Here is a 22,922-nt window from a genome sequence, read left to right as displayed (position 1 = left end):
CCGTTCCTGGGCGATCATTTATCAATGTCACCCACATAATGATTCTCTCTGCAGCCTCCTATTGATGAGGATAATTACATTAGCTCAGAGTGACTGATCAATGAAAAACCATCACACAAAAACTTCTTTACTCCTCTATAATACCAAAAACCGATACAGAAATAACATAGAAAGCCTGATTTTCTTTCCCTTCCCTGTCCACCAATGGATTCTGCCCCCTCTGACTCCCCTCGCCCCCCACCCCACCCCAAAAAAGGACGGAGGAGTAAAGTAAGAAAATAGACCCAGGTTTGTTTCGTTTAAAGGAGGATGCAATTCTGTCCGTGAATGCATTTTCTCTAAATGTTGGCTTCATCCCTCCTTTGGTAGAGCATGTCAACGGATTTGCTAATGTGAGTTGCTTTCAGACTAGTCTGTGGTTTTTCTTTTTTATTTCTTTCCTCCCCTTTGGGCATTTTTTTTTTTTCTGCTTCAAAAAAGGAGATAATTCTTTCTACAAGTATCTGGTAAAAGAAATTCCTCTAGGTCCTCTTTTTAAAAAGCGTTTGCCTAAGTCGGGTTATCTTTTGTCTTTATCACTTCATAAAGTAGAGCAATTAAAGATGTGATGTTGCATGGGCGGAAAGGGTGGATCCATTATACGGCGACATAATACGCTATATTCTCGCCTGAAAGTTTGAAGCTAAATTACGATTTCGCTTTTTCTAGACTTAAAAATCAATATTTTCTCAATTAAAGCGAATTTTAATGCTTTACTTGCGAGTTGTTAAAGGCGCTGTAAATTGTATTGTAATGCTCTTGACTTCGGAGTAGATGCAGGAGACGGGTTGATTCTCGTGGTCTTTTTCCTCTCGAGGAACCTAGCCCAGGAACATCCCATGGTTTCATATCAAATTGAAGCAACAAAGGTAAGAAGGGTTGTAAGAGGGACGGGGCAAAAGGTGGGGAGCCCGCCAAGGAAGCCCACCAGCGCCAGAGGCCATTGTCTTGTATATTTTCACCTCCCTGTGTCCTGCCTCCTGAAAGTGACGGAGGGGTCCATTTTACTCTAATCTTTCTCAAAGGGGAGCACGTTCGACTCACATCTGCTCTTTAATGGTCAGAAAAGGAGCTGCATTTGGGGAGCATTCTAAACTCTTCCCAGGGTCCCCCTGTTCTCTTCCCTCTCCTTATTTAACCAAATGCTAACTCGGAACTGGCTCTTTCACCAATATGGCCATATTTTATGTGTTCTGGCTTCTATATCAGAAATCATTCCCCACCCTCAGGAGCATGCACTGTTTACAGACGTTTTCTCCTTCCACAAGTCCCACCTAGTAAAAGTTCCCGCAGAGAATTAACTGTGGTGTGTTAATAGCCCAGGTCTGCTACTGCTCTCTCCTGCAAAGTTGAAATCTGGTAACCAGGAATATGGCATTGAATTAATGCTGGGAGCTGTTCAAGGTCAGCAGAAGCCCAAAGACTTGAGAATTCTAAGGCCCAGAGACTTGATGGGAAGCAAGGTAGTGAAACTTTAAGAAAGTAAGGCAGAGAGGAGGAGAAGAAAATGAGGCCAGGAGGGAACATAATTAGAGAAGAATAGGACAAGGCAGAAAAATGAGCCTTTGGGACCTCTTTATAATTTAAGAAGAAATAATAATGAAGGGAAATTGAATATCTAAGGCTTGCTATTACATTTTTTGAGGCCAATATCCGTTTAAGAACAAATCCTCAGAGATGCCAGGAAGGGCCTGGGTTTCCAAATGGAACTACTCACAAAGTTCCTTTTGCAGTTCCTTCTTCTGTTAATTTGCTGGGAATGAGAAGACTAGGGAAAAGGCGATGTGTGTGGTGTACCAAGGGCTTAAGTAAGAGTATGATGGGAAGGGGCACCTAGATATAATGAGGCTGCTGTTTTAAGCTGAATAGAAAAGAGGAGAAGAAAGAAAAAGCCACACAACACCACAATACACTTTAAAATAATTCTCACCCACCTGCCTTCCTTTTTCTCTAACCACACACTATATTGAATAGTACACATAGGTGGGGGAAATTTCTAGTTCATCACCTTCTGTCTGTAGACCCACCAACGGAGCCCCCTTCCCTTAGATTCCTGACATGTAAGCCTAGACCATGGCCTTTTTATCAAGTGAGTGGGGCTTTGTTAATGTATTTGTACTTTTCTGCTTTCAGTCTAAGTTTCTCGCTTTGGAGGAGGGAGGAGATGCAAGAAAGGAGGGGGAGGGGGGCAGAACACAAAGACTTTATCTAGTTCTCACCAAGCAGGTTTCAAAATAGGAACTTAATGGGAAGAAAGACGAAAGAATTAAAAAAAATAAGAGGGGCGTGAGAATTGTTTATTACAAGTTTACTTGTCTGGAAGAGAGGTGATTCTGTGGATATTTTTCGCTTTGAGGATTCTGTTTGCCTCTTATTGAAACATTTTCAAATTTTAATCCTTTAGCAGACAAAACCTCAATATAAATATGACATGGGCCACTGACAAAAAAACGAACTTAAACTCAGTGCTTAGAAGGGAGGAGGTGTGGGGAGGAGAGAGCCCTTTCTGATTAATAACTAGCAGGGTAATGTTGAGGGCTTTTTCTGCCCGATTGCCTTTTTGAATTAGAGCCGATTTCTTCACACTTCAATAGTGCCTGTCTCCTTTAAAATGACTGGCAGATTTGTTTCTCTTTTTTTTTCTCTCCCTGAGACTTAATGATGTAAATTTTCTAATTAGTTAAATCATATTGCTTAAAGGCCTAATATTTACCATGTAAGAAATGATCATCCAGATTTGGACCACTTGAAATATTCTGAGAAATAACACTTGGCTTTTAGGTTGAGGGATGAAGAGGAGAAAGCTGTATTACGGGAAGCTGTTTAGAGAAGAGAAGGCATAAACCCGGTAACATGTTAAATTAATAGATGAAGTTGAGCTGGGCTCACACCCCAAGTCCGCTTTTATTTTTCAATCAGCGAAGATTTAATTGGCAGCCCTCAGGCTGGGCGATCTGATATTTTCTCATTAGTTTCCCATCACTAATCTTGAGTGTTAGATTGGCTCAAAGGTTGTCAACATTTGACCAATTTTATTTAAGGAAAAAAAAAAATCATGCATTATGGCTCCTGGACGTGAGATCTGCAAATAAATCCTGCTTGGATCAGCGGAACCAACAGGCGAAAAAAATGTTGACTATTCATCGTCGCATTTAATAAGTTGCATTAATGTATATTTCAAGGCGAGAGAGAGAGAGATTATACATGTGGTGCGTAGATGCCGATGAAAAGAAAGAGGTGGATGGGGAACGGGATGCACTATAAGCGGGATGGGTAGGTAAAGTGAGACGTAGAAGCATTTCGAACCGAGGGTAAATAACCCAAGTGGAATAGCTGTTGAGGATTTAGGAACTACAATCCCCCCTCCCTTTCCTTTTGCAGCTGCGTGAAACTGCCAAGCCTGTCTTGCAAGCACAGAGTGGCTCTGCTGTCTAGTCCAGAGCTAACATCAGAGCGCCCCCTGCTGGCAATTAGAGCAGAACGCTGCGGGTCAGCCCCCTGCGAAGCGAATCTTGTTTTTCTGCGCACCCCACCTTTCACTGACTCCTTCCACCGCCCCCACGTCCATTCTCCAGCAAAACCCCGCGGCAGGGGAATACCTTGTCAAGGACTGAACATTTAAATGAATAAATGATAATAATAATAATAATAAAATGCGAAGGAACCCCCCCACCTTCGCTTGGCCTCTGGGGAATAAACTATCAAAAGCCTTGGCAGAGGACACCTTTCCTTTTTCTACATCTCTGTATTCTCTGCGTTTTCGCTACAGTTTGTTTTTCCTGCAGAACTGCAGATTCCGAGTCCAAGGAAATGTTTTTAATAGATGCTGTAGACGTTTTAAAAATGGATATCTGATGGGGAAAGAGGCCAATACAAAGCAATATTTTGCATCCTCACAAAATTAAACTCCCAGGAAACTCGCACTGTTTAGAAAAGTCTTGAGGGATAGCTTTCGGAATTCAGACGGTTCCTTGTCCAGAATGACCCTTTCCTGCAACGCAAAGCAATACCAGACCCTGTCCGAATCTTTTTTTTTAAGCAGAAAAAGTGTTTAAAAGTTGTCACCATAGCTACACACACACACACACACACACACACACACACACACACACACACGTCTTTTCCATGGGTGTGTCTATTCTTTTTGGGGTCGTACTTCTCAATTTTGCTGGAAACGGAAAAGGTAGCTGAAGTGCACCAAAATAACCGATGTCTTTGACATTTGATCTTACTATAGTGTTTCACGTCCAATGCAAGGTGTGAGACTGCTACTATTTGAGAGAATTTTGGTTCTTTTTCAACGGTTCGGTGCATAGAGGCATTTTCTTGGTTTCCCAGTTAATCTGCCGCGGGATTTATGAGCACCATGTAACGCGAGGGCGCACAGGTAACGAGAGCCGGAACAATCTCAGGCTGGCAGCCGCACCGCCTGCACCGCCAACCTCCACTCTTGGGAAAGGCGCTGGCAATGCAGCCCTGACTCGGATAAGTCTTCCAACCGCAACCAGACCCCCACATAACGAGTGTCAATCTACACCGCGGAACGACTTTTGTTTCTGAGGGAGTTTTTGGTTTTGCTTTCCAAAGTACCGGATTTTGGGATTTTGTTAAAACAGTGCTCAGAAATGAGGCGCGGGGGAAGGAACACGGGCAGGGAGGACAGCAAGGGAAAGGTGTGTCTCTGGACTTTAATTTCTTGCCAGAGTAGCAGGACTTTCTGGTTTAAAAATCCATTCTCCTCTTTCGCTTCTTCCCAGAAGCCCTGTGTCACCCCTTCTCCAACCCCCATTCCCATCTTTGGAGACACTCAGGGAGGGGACAGGGACCCCGGTGACTCCCTAGAACCAGCGCTCCTAGGGCAAGGCAGAGGTGGGAGACAACCCGGTCTTCAGGCCAGTGAAGTGATGCCTCAGTCTGATTGTGTTTGAAGATTTGCTGGGGCTATTGTGTGACAATTGAGGTAAAGTTAAATATTGATACTCCAAGCTGTTATCATTTTGGGGGGTCTGTTTTGAGGAAGTCCATTGGGTTCAAACTGATTTTAAATATAAATCCTGCTCTGGGGAAGCAGAATCTACTGCCTGCAACGGGGGTTGACTGTTTGAAAGGTCCTCGTTAAGCTCAGAAGTGGAAGGGAAGTTATCTGCAGACCATATGAGTCTATTCAAATATATATGTATATACGTATGTGGGTATATATACAAAATATCTATATATAGCTATCTACATATCTGTACAAAGAAAACAAAATAATAAAGACAAGAAAGGGGGTGTCCCTCATAGCAGTTGAATCCAAATAAAAATATTTCTCTCACATATAAAGGAAATATGATCATCTCATTGTATTGTCTCTGTTTGACTTAATGAAATTTGGAGACATTGACAGTCTGGTCAATGTTCTAAGTAAATTAATGTGAAGGTCCTTAGGAAGAGACGGAAAACACCCCTTGCCATTAATCTTAAACCACTTGAAGATTATGAGTAAAAGAATGGGATCACTAAGCATTACCATCTCAAGTAGCTGTTAACTGCCCCCATCCCTTTATTGTGGCAACAAAATAAACTCTTCACTAAGAATGATGTTTCTTCCTTTTTTGTCTTTGTTTTTGTTTTGCTTTAAGGGCAAAGAAGGGAAAACAGAAGCAAAGAAAACTGTTTCAAAAGTCTTGGAATTGCTACTGTTAAAAGGCTGCGGTTCATTTCTGATTTCCTCATCTTTTGCTACAAAGGAAAAAGAAATCCAATGATGTGTCTACCTTTGGTGAGAAGAAAACACGAGCAACAGCAGTGTAGGTGTGTTTGTTTGTTTTTCTTTTTTCCTGGAAAAATATTTTTAATATTCACCAATTAGCGAGTTGAAAGCTGTGGAGATGTAAAAGATGTTCTCTTGTCCACATCTATTTGTTGAGTTTCGTCAATGGAGTTTTGTAGGCATTTGTACCAGATAGAAATGGAGAGAAAGAGAATTAAACACTTGCCAAGGAACAATATATACACTTTCAGGTAACTCCACCTAATCCTGTATTTGAGTGCTGATAGGGAGGAGGAGGGGGTGCTATTTTCCCCTCACAAACCCCCCAAAGCCGTATTAGACAGAAAGAGGGGGTGAGAACTCTATGACTGAGCATTCTGACAAAAATGGAAGCAGCACCTCTCTGCTCCTAGACCCCTAAGGAAAGACGCCCCCAAAATGTGCAAAAGCCGTTATGTTTCCTTTAGAGTCCTGAGTTGGGTGGACCTTTCAGAGACATACACAGTCATTAATATTTTAAAAAACAAAATGCAGAAACGGAGGGCAGTGGCTAACAGAAAAGAAAAACATGCTAAAATTTATTCCTGAAACACCGCAAATTTCCAGATGCCACAAAAAATCAATGCAAACGCACCCCCTCCTAACTGAGCAGACAGACCCGGTGAGGGTTCCAGTTGAAACTGGAATTGGAGATCTGAACTCCGCTAGAGCAATGGGAGACGTTACCCCGAGGCTTCCGGAGTGGAGGTAGGGGACGTCTCCCTCCTTCCAGCCCGCGGTTCCCACCTGTTCCCTCCGCCCGGGGCTGGGGCGCGGGAGAGAGCAGGAGCTGGAGCGATTCCGCCTACAGTCTCCAAGGCGTACCTGGCGCTACTGCTGCTCTTACCAAACCAAGAAGGAAACCCAGATAGGCCCCTAGAGGCCAAAGACCCCGCCAAAGGGACCGAAGCTCCCGGTCCGAGGCATACGCAACGGCCTGCCCTGTTCCCAGGCCAGGCTCCCACGCCCGGATGGACAAAAGGCTCACAGGCCACACTGGTCCCGGAGCCGCTGTGAAACGCAATGGAGGGGGACAGTCTCCTCGCCGCGCTCTGGTGCGTGTGTGCGCGCGCGCGTGTGTGAAACACGTGCACTCGGTGCGGGCCTCCGGCCGCAGACGTCACCTGAGGAAGTTCACCCCCGGGGTTCCCAGGCCCTGAACCCGCCATCCCCTCCATGTCGCCTCAGCCGCCCCCACCTGCTACCCAAATCCCGGGACACGCCCGGACAGGTGTGCAGCCTCTAACTGGAAAGCTCCCGGGAAAAGAGCCACGCCAGGAAAGGAGGCGGCTGGAGGAGGGGGTAGGGATAGAGAAGAGAGATGGTACTTCCAGAGCTCAGACGTCCCTATCTTCCGAGAAATTGTCATCACACTCAATCTTTACACCCTGATCTACGGTATCCAAAAAGCAGACATTGATTCGCGGAAAAATCGAGTTCTCGAAAATACAGGGATTTGACGCGGACTCCTGAGACCTGCGCAGGCGTTGCTTAGGTTCAAAAGTATGATTTTAATTTTCTTAATGAAGGCGCGCTCTAGAGCTCAGCTGGTAATGGCTGTGTTGAGTTTAATAGACTTCTGTCGAACAGAAAAAGACGGATAAGTAATCTGCTCTAATGCAATTATTTTCCCAGGTTCGAAAGTCATTGTGCAGAGAGGGCAGGAGTGAATTAAGGCCCCGGGGACCGCGGACGCCTGGCCAGGAGACCGCCTGAAATATGAGCCGAACCTGTTTTGTGAGATGCACTTGGGTTTGGGGGTCAGGGTCGAAGGCTTCAAAGCCCTTGGTCTGCACGTGTGAAAAATCTCTCTCTTCCTCCCTCCCTCCTGCTCCTCCTCTCCCTCTCTTTCTCCCTGTTCCCCTTTCTCCTCACCTCTCTCAGAATTAATGTTAATTTCCTCTCCCCCTCCTCTATTTTGCTTGTCTTTGTGTATTTCATGCTGATCCATTTAATCCAAAGTATTTCTCTGAAACACACACAGAAGTAGGCTCTTGGACTGTGTCAGCCCAATCACCTTTTGAAACCCAAGAGAATTGGGATGTTGAAGATACTGAGGACACTGTGTACATACATAGACAATGTATTGTGAGGGCTATTTCTATCCCAGTAATGAGCCAGTGCCCATCACTGTGCAAAAGTTTTAGCCTTAACACAAGTTATCATTCACAGTATTTATTTGGCGTTGTCCAAAGTCTTCTCAGCTTCATTTGTTCAAACTCTTCTCAGCTTCAAACTCTTCACTTTGCCAGGTGAACAGAATCTCAAGCAGGCGTCATTTTAAAAAATAAAAATATCACAACTCATAATTTCCCTTCTTACAGAAAACCCAAATCGATGCAAAGAAAGCCCTTCATTCTCACCTGGACGAAAGAGTTGGAGACAGGGCAGGCCGCCTGGCCAGAGGAGTGAGCACTGGCAGCTGAGCCAGCACCCTAGAGCCCAGCACCCCTGAGCCCAGCTCTCTAGTGTGAACCTCTGCCCGGCCACTCCAGCCCCACTCTTCCCGACAGCCTCTCTCCCCGGTGCTGGAAAACAAAGAAAGTTCTTGGGACTGAGGCACAAAAAGGGTTAAATGAACCCCAAGCAATAGGTGTGTCTATTCCAGACCCCTAGGTGAGGCGACAGTAGCTGGGTTTGATGCGTGTCTCTGAGCTCCACAAACTGATTTGGTCTAGGGTTCCTTAGCTTTGTACATTCTCTTTCTTTCTCCCCCACCCCATCACACACACACACAGACACACACACACACACACACACACAAACACGCATGCGGTGACCTAGGCACGTGTGCTCACAAACATCCACAAAGCTCTGTAATTGCTGTCTCCTCTTCCCTGACCCGATCCTATCCCAGTCCTTCCTACCCCGCCGCCCGCGCCCGCCTCCACAGCAGCTGGATTCACACAAAAAAGGGAAGAACGTTAAAACAAGCAAAAATCCATTTGCAAACCCCCCTCGGTTCCCCCCCCCGCCCCCACCGGCTGAGGAGGAGCACAGCTGGCTCCCCCGAGACAGGAAGCTGGGGTGCAGCAGGCCAGGGAGCAAGGCTCCTCCCGTCTGTGGGCCTTGCAGTGCCACCTCTCACAGAGGGTGTGGGGGTTGGGTGAGGTGAAGGGTGCTTTTCACTTTCCCCCTCCCCCACGCTCTTCGCGGGCTTTTGGGAATGGAGTTAGGAAGAGATCCAGTCTTCAGGACCCCACGACTCTCAGGACCTGGAGAAGCAGCGTAGGGCGGGCGCCTCCGAGCTGCCACAGTGTGACTGCACCAGAGCCCACGTCCGCCGGCGAGAAAGTCTGCGCCGAGGACGGCCGCGTCGAACTCCTGAAGCGCTCAGCCCGCAGAGAAGCTCGCTCGGCAGTGCTCAGGCCCAGCCCAATCTAGCAGTCTAGCATTTGGGTGGCACCAGGATGGAGGGCTGCCTCTGGCTCCAAAAGCAGATTTGGAATGCAGGAGAACGAGTGACTGTCAGAGCCAGTCTCTCTCCTCTGTCCTCTCTCTCTCCTCTCTCTCAAGCCAGATTTAGAATGCAGGAGAAAGGGTGACAGAGCCAGTCTCTCTCCTCTCTCCCCTCTCCCCTCTCTCTCTTTCTCTCCCACTGCGCCTCTGCCATTCCTAGATCTCTCTTCCCATGCCTTCGGAGGACACACCTGCAGGAGCTGCTGAGTTGTTTTGGTGACCCGGGAGATCAATAGCAAGGACCCAGAAACACCCACAAGCTCTAAGTGGGTCTAATTTTGCTTTTGAAAAGTAGTAGGAGAGGAAAGAGACTTTATTACCTAACCGTGAGTTTTCCAAGATGATCCCCCTCAGCCAAGCAAAGTTGAGAAGGGTTCGACAGAGGGTGAGGACAAGATAGTTCCCTCTTAGCCCCCTCCACACCTCTACAAGAAACCTGGACGGAGCTCCCCCACCAGCTGAGAACTCCTTGTAAAGGCGCCTTGGGGTCCCCACCTGTGCCACTTACCCAGATCACCACGGCCTCTAGGATCTCAGACCATTCTCATCCCGGAAGCCGCTGACTAGACCAGGTCGGGGAAACACTAGGAGGCCCAGTCAGTCAGTATTGCTTCTCTCTCTCTCATTTACCCTCCTCTTTTAAAGGTCAGCGGAGGAAAGCAGTTTTTCTTTTTCCTTCTTTCTTTCTTTCTTTCTTTTCTTTTCTTTTCTTTTTTTTTTTTTTTTTTTTGCAGTAAATCACATGTGTAATTGCATTCACATAGAATTAAGAAGTAAAATATATCTTTTGTGCAAATGCACTTAGACATGTTTAAAGAGGGACTGCCCTGAACACAGTCGGTTTTTAAAGAATGAAACAATTAAATACAAGCTTTAAAGATAAAGAATATGAAGAGTGCCCAGTATCCCCTTCCATTGCCTTTACATAAATTAGGTGGGTCTCAGGAATAGCTCAAGTATCAACAGTTCTTAAAGCTAACTAACCAATACACAAAAATAACAGATAATCACATCTTTAAAGTAAGTTACCCTCAAAGAAGTTAGAAGTGAATACCTAACTGCAGAGTTAAGCTTTTCCTGCTTCTTTATTTATCCAGGTCTCTTAATTTTAAAACAGATTAAATAATCTGCTCAAAAGGGTTGATATTGCCCACCAAAACAGAGTGAAGACCGTTGTTCATACTTTGAAGCTTATCCATGAGCCTTGGGACTTTTTGAATGTTTAAATGAAGTGTAAATAGATTAAGGTCACAGGTGATTGACAAGATCAAGCTGCTTAACTCAATTATCAAACTTTTATTTCAAAATTATGTTCAATTTGATTCTCCTGCTTTGCTATAAAAGATCTTAGAAAATCCAATAGGAGCAGACAATTTACATTGTGTCGTATGTACTGTGATTTATTTGTAAAATTATTTTGTGATATATATATACCTCCTTTAATGTTTTTGAGGAAACCATGTCTTTCCAATTAGATTTAGGAACACAGCTATCATACTAATTCAAAGGCAGTTACTTTGAAGACTCAAAGATCAGCAAATTTTAACAATTTTCTAAAATATGTCTAAATTTCTAAACTGCAGGCAGAAACTGCAGGCTGTTCAGAATCCAATTCTCTGGATATTGGCATGCTACATTCAATGTCCAGCTACATTAAGTGTCCATCTATCAAAATACTAGGTAAGAGTGCAATTTGTAAATATATATCCTACAACTCTTTTCTAACATAATATCTCAACGTTCTCCTATGCATTATTTAATAGATAACCAAACTCTTCAGATTAAGGCTCATGCTGCCACATCTGGAAATGCTTCCTTTGCATTACCCATCACCACCTCCTCACCTCGCCCCAGCCACCAGTGAGAGAAATAGCTGAAGCCTCCCCTTCCACCATTATATGATAGCATCAGCTTTTAATCAGTGAGAGGCACTCCTATTTAAATTTACAGGATGACTCTTTATTTCATTTATCTTTTCTTTTGGAGGAAAGTGAAACAAGAGCACCACCCTTATTAATTATAAGATTGATGAGGTGAAAAAAGCCAAATGAATTTGGCTTGCAAATTATTAGTCTAGGTATGAATATTTATGACTGTGCCAGGAACTGCAGTCATGAACCCTGGGTATCAGGCATGGGAGAGAGTCAGCCCAGTGCATTCAATGAGGGTTCAGTCTCCCCAAATCTGACATGACATAAATGGAAACTTTGAAATTAGACCCAGGGTGGGCTCCCATTAAATCAGTTTATTTTCTTTCTTTTTCTTTTCTTTTTCTTTTTTTGGCTAGTCTTGCTAAACATGAACTTGCTTCCAGTGGCTTCCTTCATAAGCTTTAAAAACCTTTTAAAGTGAAGGAAGACACTTATAGATTTTGTGAAGAAAACTTTTATTTTCCCGACTTGATATTCACTTATGTTTCAAAGCAAGTTTTTCTGTAAAATATTTGTGACATGCATTTAACATTTTTTAAACTATTTTTATTCCGTTTAAAAATATTGGAAACCTAAAATATCCTGGGTATAGGAAGGATTTAAATAGACACAATTGAAGTTCGATGCAGAGAGAAATGAGAGGGAAAAGAAAGCAGCAATGGGAGAGATGAAAAGACAAGTTTTCTATTTATTTGCTTGTTTTCCTTTTTATGCACCACACTTACTCATGCTTTTTCATCCCAAAGTGAGGAAATTTAAATGAAAGGTGGAGGCAGAAAGCATCAAGGTAGAAAGGAAAGGGTCAAAACAAGGATTTAATAATTTAGTTAAAGACAAACTATATTCTCTTCTTTTCCTCCTCGTGATTATACATGTAAGAGTTTTGTAGTGCTTTGGAAAAGACGCTGGGGGTTTGAGATTTAACGAGCTCAAATACTGCCTCATCACCGGCTTCTTTTCTGTAAAAGAAATGTTGAGTGGGAGCTGACCCAATCCTGTGAAAATGGTTCATTCTGACATCAGAGCCAGCTTCGCACATACATTTTGAAAAGGAAGACAAGTTGTTTTCAAAACAGAAATGCTAAGCATTCTAAAAAGCATAAGCAATTTAAAAAATGCTCCTCAAATTTTCTGAAAAACTCCCAACTACATATATATATATATTTCACAATTGTAAGTGGATATTTGTGCTAAATTGATGCTTTATGTATATCCTGTCTCAATTTGTCTGTTCACTGTAAAGATATAATTTTTTTAAGAAGCTATACCACTGACAACAATTTACTTAAATTCACAAACCTTGAAATTGATGCCTCTCCTATCAATCACATTCAGTAGATACAGTAAAACACATTCAACATTTGTATATCAATAGTGGCACACACACAAATCTGTTTTGTTCAATTTAAATGCTCTTCAACATGTCATTTCGTATTTTTCTGGAACATGTTATGGGTTAGTCATCCTGTTTCAGCTTATTGTTAAATCCTTAACCTAATGAAAATTCAAAATAGAATATTTACTTGTCATGAGTTTCAGAGCTGAATGGTGGACTTTAGGAATAATTTGGACAACTTCTCTTATCATTCCAGCAAAGAATTGGAGGCCTAATGATGGCAACTGACTAGTCCAATTCATAAAACTAGTTAGCTCTGGTTTTTGACAACATCCCAAAGCTTTTAACTTCAGGCCAATTTTTCTTATTATATGGTGCTTTCCCATTTTCTGCCCTCTATAATACAGTAGTATTTATAATACTATATGCAGAATTTTTACTAATATTTTTCCTTCCAGCACATTGATAATGAAACTCTTATTAAATAACAAGAAGAGAGTGATTGGTCTGTTTGCTGACATGAAGATCTGTTCTTGATCTGTGATGTCTGTTTTAATTAGGCAAAAACGAGATCTATCATCTACCTGCAGGATAAATAGATGCCAGTATTGGCACAAAAACAAACTTTGTATTTATAGAAATACCAAACTTCTCTATTTATTGGTTACACGTCAGCTCAGTCAATCAAGCTAGAACTAGATATAAATAGGAATAACTGAGAAAGATACTTCAAAATCTCCAAAAAATGTTCACCAGGAATATTTAAATGGATACCAGAGTTCCTTGACTTCAACACTAATAGCTGGCTTCTAGGTAACCTTCCCACCTGGCTCTTCTCTTCACCCCAAATTGAATCCTACACATGCTCCATATTTTTTACATTAAGAAGTCCTATTCATGCCTGAGATGTTCTTATATTTATGATGGCCCCTTCTGTCAAATTGTTATTTCTGTAGCCTGCTGTCAGAAACGTCACTCAAAGTTTCCTTTCCACCTCTCTTTACCCTCTGTCATAGTCACTTAGAAGGTCTAATCCAAGTAGAATCTACTTCACCTATAAAATGAAACTGGGAGAACTTTTTTCATTTCCTGTCACCTCCCCCTCTTCCCAGCCAACACCTCCCCCAGCTTTATCTTGATTCTGTTTAAGGCTGTTTGCTGTTTCTCCCTGTGGTAAAATTTTTCATCCAAGCTATTTCTCTTAAGGTTCAAATATCTAACTTTCATGAGAAAATACATGTATAAATATTTTGGGCATGTTTTCTGAATCTATGCTACTTAGGTTAATACTCAGGCAAGAAAGAAAACAACAGCAAAAGTAAAAGACCCGCCAATTACAGAAAGTTCTGGAGCAAAAATAGCCGATACTTGACTTTTTTAAATATAAAAAATAATATATCAAACCTGTTGGTGTTTAAAACTTTTTTTCTTTATCAATGGCCTCCTCTCTGCTAAGTTTCCATTTCATGATTTTTGTATGAATATGATAAATGGTCATTAAGTCTAACCAGTTTTATTTAATGTTCGTAAAAACTGGTAGGTTTTCAAACAGATGTGGCCTGATATGGTTCAGTGAATTTAGTGGACTTCTCATATAAATGGAATAATAACCATAAGGAAGATGTATTTTATACCCTTGTTTACCGCTTCCAGACTCACCCTTATTATAATTACAAATAGTGTTTATTATGTATTATGCAATATACATACCATGGTCCAGAGACCGCACAAAACTTTAACTTAATCACTGCCATCTAGAGTTTATAATCCAAGAGCACCAACACCAAAAACTACAGGGAAACACAGACAAATAGAAAGGGCACCATGATATATTCTTTTTTTTAATAAAAAACCAAATATAATGGAACCTAGCTTATGAATGTGTAACACATTTTTATCTTTTCATTTAAATATTTTTTTCAGATCCAAGTAGATGGTTGGGAAAGAGAGAATAGTTTATTTCACTTATTTTCTGTCAACTAGGGATGACTTTGGACAACTCTTCCCCTTTTAACCTTTTTAAAAGAGACTGGCAAAGAGAAGAAGGTGGCAACCAGAGCTGCCTAAGTGGAGGGAGTACACACAGGTTTAAATAATGAAGGCAGGAGAGCTCAGCAGCTTCACACATCACTTTACAGTCAGACAGTCTGGGTCGCAATGCTGGCTCAGCCTCTCATCAGCTACACGACCCTAGGCAAACTCACACTTCCAAACTTCTCATAGGGCTTTCACATGCTCACCAAAGGAATTAATGAATGATGAAATTTATCCTAGTACTTGGCTCATGGTGAGCAGTCAATAAATACCAGTTATTATTGTTAATGGGATAGTTAACATCCTATACCACCCCTACCCCTAAGCTTAGACAGGACCTCATGTGAACAATTCATAAAATTTTAACATCTTCTACTTTTATTAATCATATAAGAATTCAACACTTCTGTTAGTTTAGATTCTCCATTTGTTCTATATTGTGTAGGTCACTTTAATTGCTTGTATATTCGCATCTGTATAGTTATCATTTAATATTCCATGTTTGAAAAAGACCCACACAGCATACATTTTCATGGGCAAGTCATTGAGTAAATAGCTTACTCAATGGGTTTGTTGGTTATTAGGTAATGGGAAGACCACTATGCTGAGAGCCAGGAAAACTGGATTCTAAATATTGTTTCCCACTTATTAGCTCTGTAATTGGGCCTCAGTTTCCTCACCTGCAAAATAGGTTGGAGTAGAAAATATCCAAGGTCCATTCTGGCTTTAATAGTCAGGAATTCTATGACTCACATAGGAAACTTTTCCTAGAAGAATCTTTTTGCTTCCTTTCAAGTACACATTGAGAAATATTATGTGCCTGGCCCTGTGCTAGGCCCTGAGACTCAATGAGATATAAGTAGAGTTCTGTGTTCAAGACATTTACAGTCTAGCAGGGTGACTAACATTACATTACAGTGTAATAACTGCTATTTTACAGATATCTTTGGGGAATTATAAGACCTGATAGAAGCAACATCTAATGAATGGGAGGCAACTACGTGACCAGGGGAAGAGAAGGAAAAGCTTTGTAGAGGAACTGGCACCTGAACTGTCTTGAGGAATAAATAAGAATTAAGGCAGAGGTGAGGAGAAAGGCATGACAGGAGGAAATAGTATGTGTAAAGAAACAAACAAACAAACAAAAACAAAAAAGAGAGAAAGATAAGGCCATACAGAAAACTGGTAGTTAAGCCTGGCTGGAGGTCAGAGGGTATGTGTGACTGAGTAGACATGTGACTTCTCCCTCTTCACTCTTCCATTTCCCCACAGTCAATCTTATAGAGTCCTTTGGCTTCAGTTACCCTTCATTGGCTGACGATTCCCCAGTTTTCTATTTTTGGCCTAGAACCTACATTTGAGCTTTAGACCTATACATTCAGTTCTCCAGTAGACATCTCTATAGGTCAAGAGGCACCCTAAACTCGTGATCTTCACCCCTGAGGAAACACCTTCTCCTGTGTTCACTGTCTTGGTAAATGGTATTACCATCCACCCAGTTGCTTGTGCTAGAGATTGGGTTTTATCCTTGATATTTATTTTTCTTTTCTTCATCCCCAATGCCTCCACAAGTGGTATCAAATCCAATAAATTTCCAAGGCCTAATAATTATGCCCCTAAATGCATCTTTAACCCATATGTTTCTCTCTGTTTCAGCTGCCACCACCCTAGTTTTATTTGGACTTCACCATTGGGGGTTCTGGAGCCAAATCTGATCTCTTCATATTCCTATTCAAAATCCTTTGATGGAAACCCACCACCATTCTTAAGATAAAGTCCACATTTCTTAAAATGTTCTAAGGCCTTGACTGATTTCACTTCTGTCCCCCGATCTTCAGCCCCATCTGGAATCCCCTTATTCTCTTTAATCCAGTCATGTTGTCCACCATTACATTGTTCAAATAGTATAGCCTCGTCCTACCTCAGAGCTTTTGCACATTCTGTTTCCTCGGTCTGGAAGGTTCTTCTTTCCTCCACTGTCCCCCATCTGTAACTTAGCTAACTGCTATTCATTTCTCAGATCTCAGTTTAAATGCCACTTCTGCAGGAGAATTTTTCTTGACCATTTCCCCTCTAGATTAAGCTACATTCTCTATTCTCATAATAACATTTAAATTTTCTTTGCATCATTATCACAGTTATACTTCATTAATAGTTAATTATGTCATGATTGGTTTAATGTCTGTTTCCCCAGCTAGACTATGTGTTCCATGGTGACAAGGTCTGGTATCTTGGGTTCACTATGGTATCCCCAATGTCTAACCAATATTTTTGAAGGTAAAAGAAGATGAAGGGAGGGAGGGAGAAGTCAAAAAATATAAGGCCTGAAAAATGCCCATTGGATTTAGCAACTAAGAGGTCATGGATGACTTCAGAGAAGGCAGTTTCAGTGGCAAGGCATGGGTAGATGAAGATTGAAGTGGGTTAGGAACAAAAGGGAGGTGAGAAAGTGAAGGCAGTGGGTGTAAACTAATTTGAAGAATCTTAGTCATGGAAAAAAAGCAATATGACAGTAGATAAAGGGAAGATGTAGGATCAGGGCATGTTTTGCTTTCTAAGATGAAAGAACTGAGCTTATATATTTAAAGATAAAGCAATAAAATAGAAGACATAAATTAATGGAGATTAACGATATAGAAAAAGAGAAAAGAAATTAATGAAAGAATATTAGAGGGTTGTAGGAGAGGCTGGGATTTAGAGCATAAGCTAAGTTCTATAAAAGTTAAAAGTCACCTCCTCAATGAGACATAAAGAGGAAAGTAAAGGCAGGCATACATATGGATTAAATGGTGGTGTGGGGCTGAGAAAATAATGTGGATGCTGCTTGATACACTGGATTTTCTCCCAGTTGTAGGAGGCACTCAGAGAAAGGGGATGGTAGGGAAAGGCCATAAAGAGAGAGGCAAAAGCTTAAAATCATTGTTGAGGGGAATAGGAGAGGGAGCTGATCAAGATCAGGTCATAAGATTGCTGAACCTTGCCAAGGGAGATTTGTGGTGCCAACCATCCATATCATTGTGTAATTTTCTCCAAAAGTGCTCAGCAATTTCAGTGAGGGAGTGAGATGCTTGGGTTCTTCTAGATCTGAGAGTTTGCAGGGTAACAAGAGTTTGGAAGTTAAGACTACATGTTTGGGAGTATTTGAGCTAATAAACCATTGGGTCTAAGTTAGATAAAGAAGGAAATGAAGACACAAAGTGGGTGACAGGCTGAGTGTAAATTTAGGGACATAAGGGCTATATATTTTCTTGGAGAAAAGAAGCTAAAGGTTCTCAGAGTTAGGAGAATGTAGGAGAGTATAATGAGAGATTGTTACATCAGCATTTCAGATGGAGAGGTGGAAGTTTCCTCTTCTATGCAGAGGGGATAAGTAGATCCAGACTGGCCATAGTGACAGATATCAAAAGAGGGATCTTTACGTCAGTCCTAAAAGGTATGACAACATCCTCACTTTCTCTTCCCATTTCATTCTAGGAATTTCTTTTATGATCCTTGGGCCAGATAACTGAAAGATGGCAAAGGAGAAAGTGGGAATATGATTTATTCATTAGTTCTTTGTCAGTTTAAACCAATTCACTTCAACAAGTAGTTAATGCGTGAATACCAGGTACTAAGGTATTGCTGCGTGGTAGAGATTCAGTGTTTGCATTTGAGATCCATCATTCTGTTAACTTTGTGGAGAATAAATTTGGCTGGGGCTGGGGAGTGAGAGTGGGCACAAGATTGGAGGCAATAACAATTTGACTTCACCATTTAATAAGGCTATGACTTAGGAGTATTTATTTAACCTTTCTGTGTCTTAATCCCTTCATCTGTATAATGGGAATGCTAATAGTACATATCCTGTAGGTTTATTGGGAAATTATTTATTTATAAAGTGTTTAAAATATACCCTACAGATTTCATGGCTGGAGCAGGAAAAGTTATGAGCTTGGAATATCTTCAGTGCCTGAAAGTGAGGAAGTGCTCCCAAAAATATGAAGGCCTGTCAAAAGGTACATGAAGCCAGCTTGAAGAGGCTTCCATCAAAATAAATAAGGAAGTAATGGATTATTGTCTACTGAATAGAACAGGAATCCAAAAAAAAAAGAACAGGAATCCGTGAGTCTATAATAATAAATAGATAAATAAATAAGAAGAGAAAGCTCTTGCTTTTACAGTAGTAAGCCAGCTAATATAGAGGGAATAATGAAGTTTAAAAAAAATCACCATTTCCCGAGCCTGGGCAACATGGTGAAACCCTGTCTCTGCAAAAAAAAAAAAAAAAAAAAAAACAAGAAAAACACACACACACACACACACACAAAATTAGCGGGATGTGGCCGGGCACAGTGGCTCATGCCTGTAATCCCAGCACTTTGGGAGGCTGAGGCGGGTGGATTACCGGAGGTCAGGAGTTCAAGACCAGCCTGGCCAACATGGTGAAACCCCTGCCTCTACTAAAAATACAAGAAAATTAGCTGGGTGTGGTGGCACATGCCTGTAATCCCAGCTGCTCAGGAAGCTGAGGTCAAAGAATTGCTTGAGCTCAGGAGGTGGAGGTTTCAGTGAGCCGAGATCTTGCCAGTGCACTCCAGCCTGGCTGACAGAGTGATACTCTGTCTCAAAAAAAAAAAAAAAATTAGCTGGGTGCACATGTAGTCCCAGCTACTCAGGAGTCTGAGCGGGGAGGATAGTTTGAGCTCAGGAGGTCAAGGCTGCAGTGAGCCATGTTTGTGCCACTGCACTCCAGTCTGGGTGACAGAGCGAGACCCTGTCTCAAAAAAAGAAAAGAAAAGAAAAGAAAAAAAGAAAATCCTCATTTTGCAACATCACAGAAAGAAATTGATTCAGGCATGAATCATCAATGGATGCTAAATTTAGTGGAGCAAAGTTGATGAAGAACAGGATATTTATATGATATTGCAGTATCTCATCATAGATTATTTATTACAGTAGGAAAAAATTAACTATGCAGAGAAGAAAACAGACAATACCTTATCCAAGTGATCTAAACTAACATCACCAATAAAGACGATGTGCCTCCAATGTGACACTGTGAAAAGAACACATTCTCACTTCTTGGTCCTCCAGCCCTAAACGCACAACCTGAATGTAGTCACGTGACACATCACACAAATCCATATTGAGAGACAGTCTATAAAATATCTGGCCTGTATGCTTCAAAGGAAAGGCCAAGTAAAGATTCCACCTTAAAGAAGACCAAAGAGACATGAAAACTGTGATTTATGATCCTAGTCTGGATTCTGTAGTGGACAAATTTGCTATAAAGGACATTATCAGGGAAATAGATGAAATTCGAATATGGACTTGAGATTAGAAAAAGTATCAATGTTAATTTTCTCAATTTGGTGACTGTACTACATTTATACACTGAAGAAAATATACACTGAAAGGTAAATGAGTAAAGTAGCATTATCTATACAACTAACTCTCTTAATTGCTTAGGAAAAATATGGAGAAGAAGAGAACGAGAATACTAAAGCAAATATTGCAAACTTATGTAAAAATTGGTGAATCTGGGAAAAAAAGTTGTACAGGAGTTCTGCATACTTCTTGCAACTTTTTTGTACATTTGTAATTATTTCAAAGTAAAAGTTCTTAAAAGATGAATGTGCAGAAAAGAAAAAAAGCCTGACCCATCGAAAGCTCTCAACGAAAGTTAGCTATCATCATCACCATCATCATCAGTTGAGATATTCTTGCAGTGTTTCAAGTAAGAGGTGATAGAGAACCTCATTTCAGTCACCAGGCATTAGAAGTAGGAATGGAGTAGACAGGAAATATTCAAGCTAGCTGCACCAGAAATTCTGGCAATGATGTGGGGAGTATTCCATGATGTGAAATGCCACATGCCACTAGATTTATGACACATCACTTCAATGGACACAGCCCATGGCCAGTTCTTACCATGCAAAATGAATTTTTCTGTAATGTATTCCTCTGTGTGCTCAGCAGCATAACATTCCATCAAACTAGATGCAGTTGGCTTCTGTGTCCTACAGAACCTCTGTAGGAGCAGTAGTGGAGAGAAAAAGCTAGTTTATTTTCAGATGGACAAATATCTTCTTTAATCTTTTTTCTTCTCTTAGGGAGAGAACAAGAAGGAGGAGGAGCTAGAAAAAGAAAAAGCAGTGGGAACTGTCATGGGTGAATCCCAGAATGGGCATCCCAGATGACATCTGTCTCCATTCCTGCCATCTCTTCCTGGCTGCCAGCCACTTAGCCTCCAGGTGTTTGTGTCTAAGGCCAACTCTCTTTCCAGACTAGAAGAAAGTGAGGCAGCTCACCTTTTCATTTAGGTTTACTTTGGAAAGTTCTGTGGTTGAATATCAACATAGTGACTGATTTGTGGCTGTAAAGCTGTAGCAGCTCAGGTAGCACATGTAAGAGTGAGACTGGATGGAGAGACTGGATGAATTATGCCATCTTACCAAGGCATTGATTAGTTGATTAAGGCTTGTTTGAGCAAAAAAGTGAGTTATATCAGATATAGTTATATCAGATACACTGATACTCAAATCCCACCAGAGAACTCAGCAGGCCACCGATAACCCATTCACTTTTCTTCTCCCGTGACTTTACTCATCTTATTATTAAACAAGGAATGTCTTGGTCCACCACTGAACCAAGTTTAAGAGTCAACTCAAATGCCACTTACTTCTTGAAGCCCTTCATGATACTGTCAAGGATAATGGAAATATATGATTTCTCCCTTTCATCTATATAAATTATTTCCCCATATATACATTAACATGTCGTCAGGAAACTTAACAGAAATATGGTAACTCTTATTAAGTTTCCTTTAAGCATTTTTTTCTATACTTGTGCCTTAGAAAAATTGGAAGAACTAGAAATGGAAATATTGCAGAGTGAGAAACTTATGGGATGTTCGTTAGAGAGAGTATCATGAAGGAAAACATGAGATTAAAGACACTGCAACTATCTGAGAGGCCTGTGTAAAATTGTGTAAGCAAAATAAGGAATCTAATATTGAAATATGCAAATAATTTTACTTTTAGGAACTTAGACTCCTTTGTAGAGCATTAAATTTTATGCTATATTAAGTAGAGGTAATGCTGTTTTGTACATAAAAACTATCTTTGGATTATTTACCTTTCCTTTTCTTTCCGAAATTGTTGTCTTTTCAACTCCGTCTTTAGGGACAGACAAATGATCAGCTGAGTGGTATAATTAATAGAAGCACCAGTTTTAGAAGCTCTACTTCTGGAAGTAGAATAAAAAGGAGGTGTAACCCAGAGTTTAAGATATCCACTGATAATGAGAGTATTTGAGTGATGGTAAATGGCAAGGAGAAAGACTTAAAGATCTATCTAGAGACAAACCCTTATACTCTAGGCATGCTGCCAGATAAAGACTAAAAACAGCGTGTAAGATGGCAAGGAAAATGTGCTGTTTGGTTTCTTCATTGCCATAAAAGCCACTGAGAAGGGCTTAAAGAGATATGCCATTCCTAAATGGTAACATTAGACTTCTTGTTCTATGACTTGAGTGAAAAATTTTGCCATTAGGAAATGGGGACAAGGAATGTCATCTTCAACACAGGGTAGCTTTTTGGTCTATCTACTCGTGGTCAACAAAAGGTACAGTAAGTAAGGTCACAGAATGGTCACCCCACTTTGGTTCAATCCTGTTCTTGGACAGATCAGTAACTCAACGACGCTTTGTTTTTCTTTTGTGAAGCCTCTTCAGCCTTGATCATAATGATTTCATTAGCAGTGTGTGCTTGATTTTTGCACACCCACACAATGTTTTGTATTACCCAACAAACTTACAGAATGTAGCCACAGCTTCTTGCTCCAGGAAATGTCTATCAATTTAATTATTAAAACTAGTTTAATGTTTGGTGCCCTGTGAGCAGGATCTTTAAGATGAAATGAGCCAATCCACATTCCATTATTTCACTGACATTTAACATAATCCTTGCAGCTATCAAGCTATGCCTCCCAAATCTAAGACAATGAGTAAATGTTATTAGTTGAATCGGTGACTAAATCAGCTAAAATGGTTGCTTGACTAAATGAACGAGTTACTTGATACATCGTGAACACATTGAAGGAAATTGGAAGAAATGGAATTCTGGCTCCTGGGTCCCTAAAAATTGCTGAGTGTGTTTCCTTTTTTGTAAAATAGGTATATTAATATTTTGCCTAGATGTGTTACAGTAAAGATTAAAAATAAGTCAAGTAAAATATCTAGCATATAGCAGAGAATAAATGGTTGCTGTAACTTATTATGATTATTTATTAAAAGTTCAAGTTGCTTTGAAGAAATTAAGCAATTAGTTACTGGTCTATCTGGATCTTAGAAA

The 22,922-nt window shown here is 41.0% G+C and overlaps 1 long non-coding RNA gene across 1 annotated transcript, besides 4 other annotated features; it reads left to right on the top strand.

The window, feature by feature from the left end:
- Positions 1–795: 795 nt before the first annotated feature.
- Positions 796–22,886, top strand: LOC145845 (uncharacterized). The gene is made up of 7 exons (NR_024264.1): positions 796–908; positions 4,797–4,999; positions 5,661–5,832; positions 7,466–7,567; positions 10,873–10,969; positions 18,490–18,585; positions 20,683–22,886. It is a non-coding gene; the product is annotated as an uncharacterized LOC145845 (long non-coding RNA).
- Positions 5,284–5,854: an enhancer, noted in NCBI's record as "NANOG hESC enhancer chr15:37173676-37174246 (GRCh37/hg19 assembly coordinates)". NCBI's record gives its function as "activates a minimal SCP1, AML or CMV promoter by ChIP-STARR-seq in naive H9 embryonic stem cells {active_cell/tissue: H9 hESC(naive)}" and the evidence as "EXISTENCE:reporter gene assay evidence [ECO:0000049][PMID:30033119]".
- Positions 6,326–6,887: an enhancer, noted in NCBI's record as "H3K4me1 hESC enhancer chr15:37172643-37173204 (GRCh37/hg19 assembly coordinates)". NCBI's record gives its function as "activates a minimal SCP1, AML or CMV promoter by ChIP-STARR-seq in naive H9 embryonic stem cells {active_cell/tissue: H9 hESC(naive)}" and the evidence as "EXISTENCE:reporter gene assay evidence [ECO:0000049][PMID:30033119]".
- Positions 8,100–8,877: an enhancer, noted in NCBI's record as "H3K4me1 hESC enhancer chr15:37170653-37171430 (GRCh37/hg19 assembly coordinates)". NCBI's record gives its function as "activates a minimal SCP1, AML or CMV promoter by ChIP-STARR-seq in naive H9 embryonic stem cells {active_cell/tissue: H9 hESC(naive)}" and the evidence as "EXISTENCE:reporter gene assay evidence [ECO:0000049][PMID:30033119]".
- Positions 8,878–9,655: an enhancer, noted in NCBI's record as "H3K4me1 hESC enhancer chr15:37169875-37170652 (GRCh37/hg19 assembly coordinates)". NCBI's record gives its function as "activates a minimal SCP1, AML or CMV promoter by ChIP-STARR-seq in naive H9 embryonic stem cells {active_cell/tissue: H9 hESC(naive)}" and the evidence as "EXISTENCE:reporter gene assay evidence [ECO:0000049][PMID:30033119]".
- Positions 22,887–22,922: the final 36 nt, after the last annotated feature.

The sequence above is a fragment of the Homo sapiens genome, chromosome 15 (genome assembly GCF_000001405.40).
Source record: "Homo sapiens chromosome 15, GRCh38.p14 Primary Assembly".
Lineage (NCBI taxonomy): Eukaryota > Metazoa > Chordata > Mammalia > Primates > Hominidae > Homo > Homo sapiens.
This window is presented reverse-complemented; position numbering and strand designations above follow the sequence as displayed.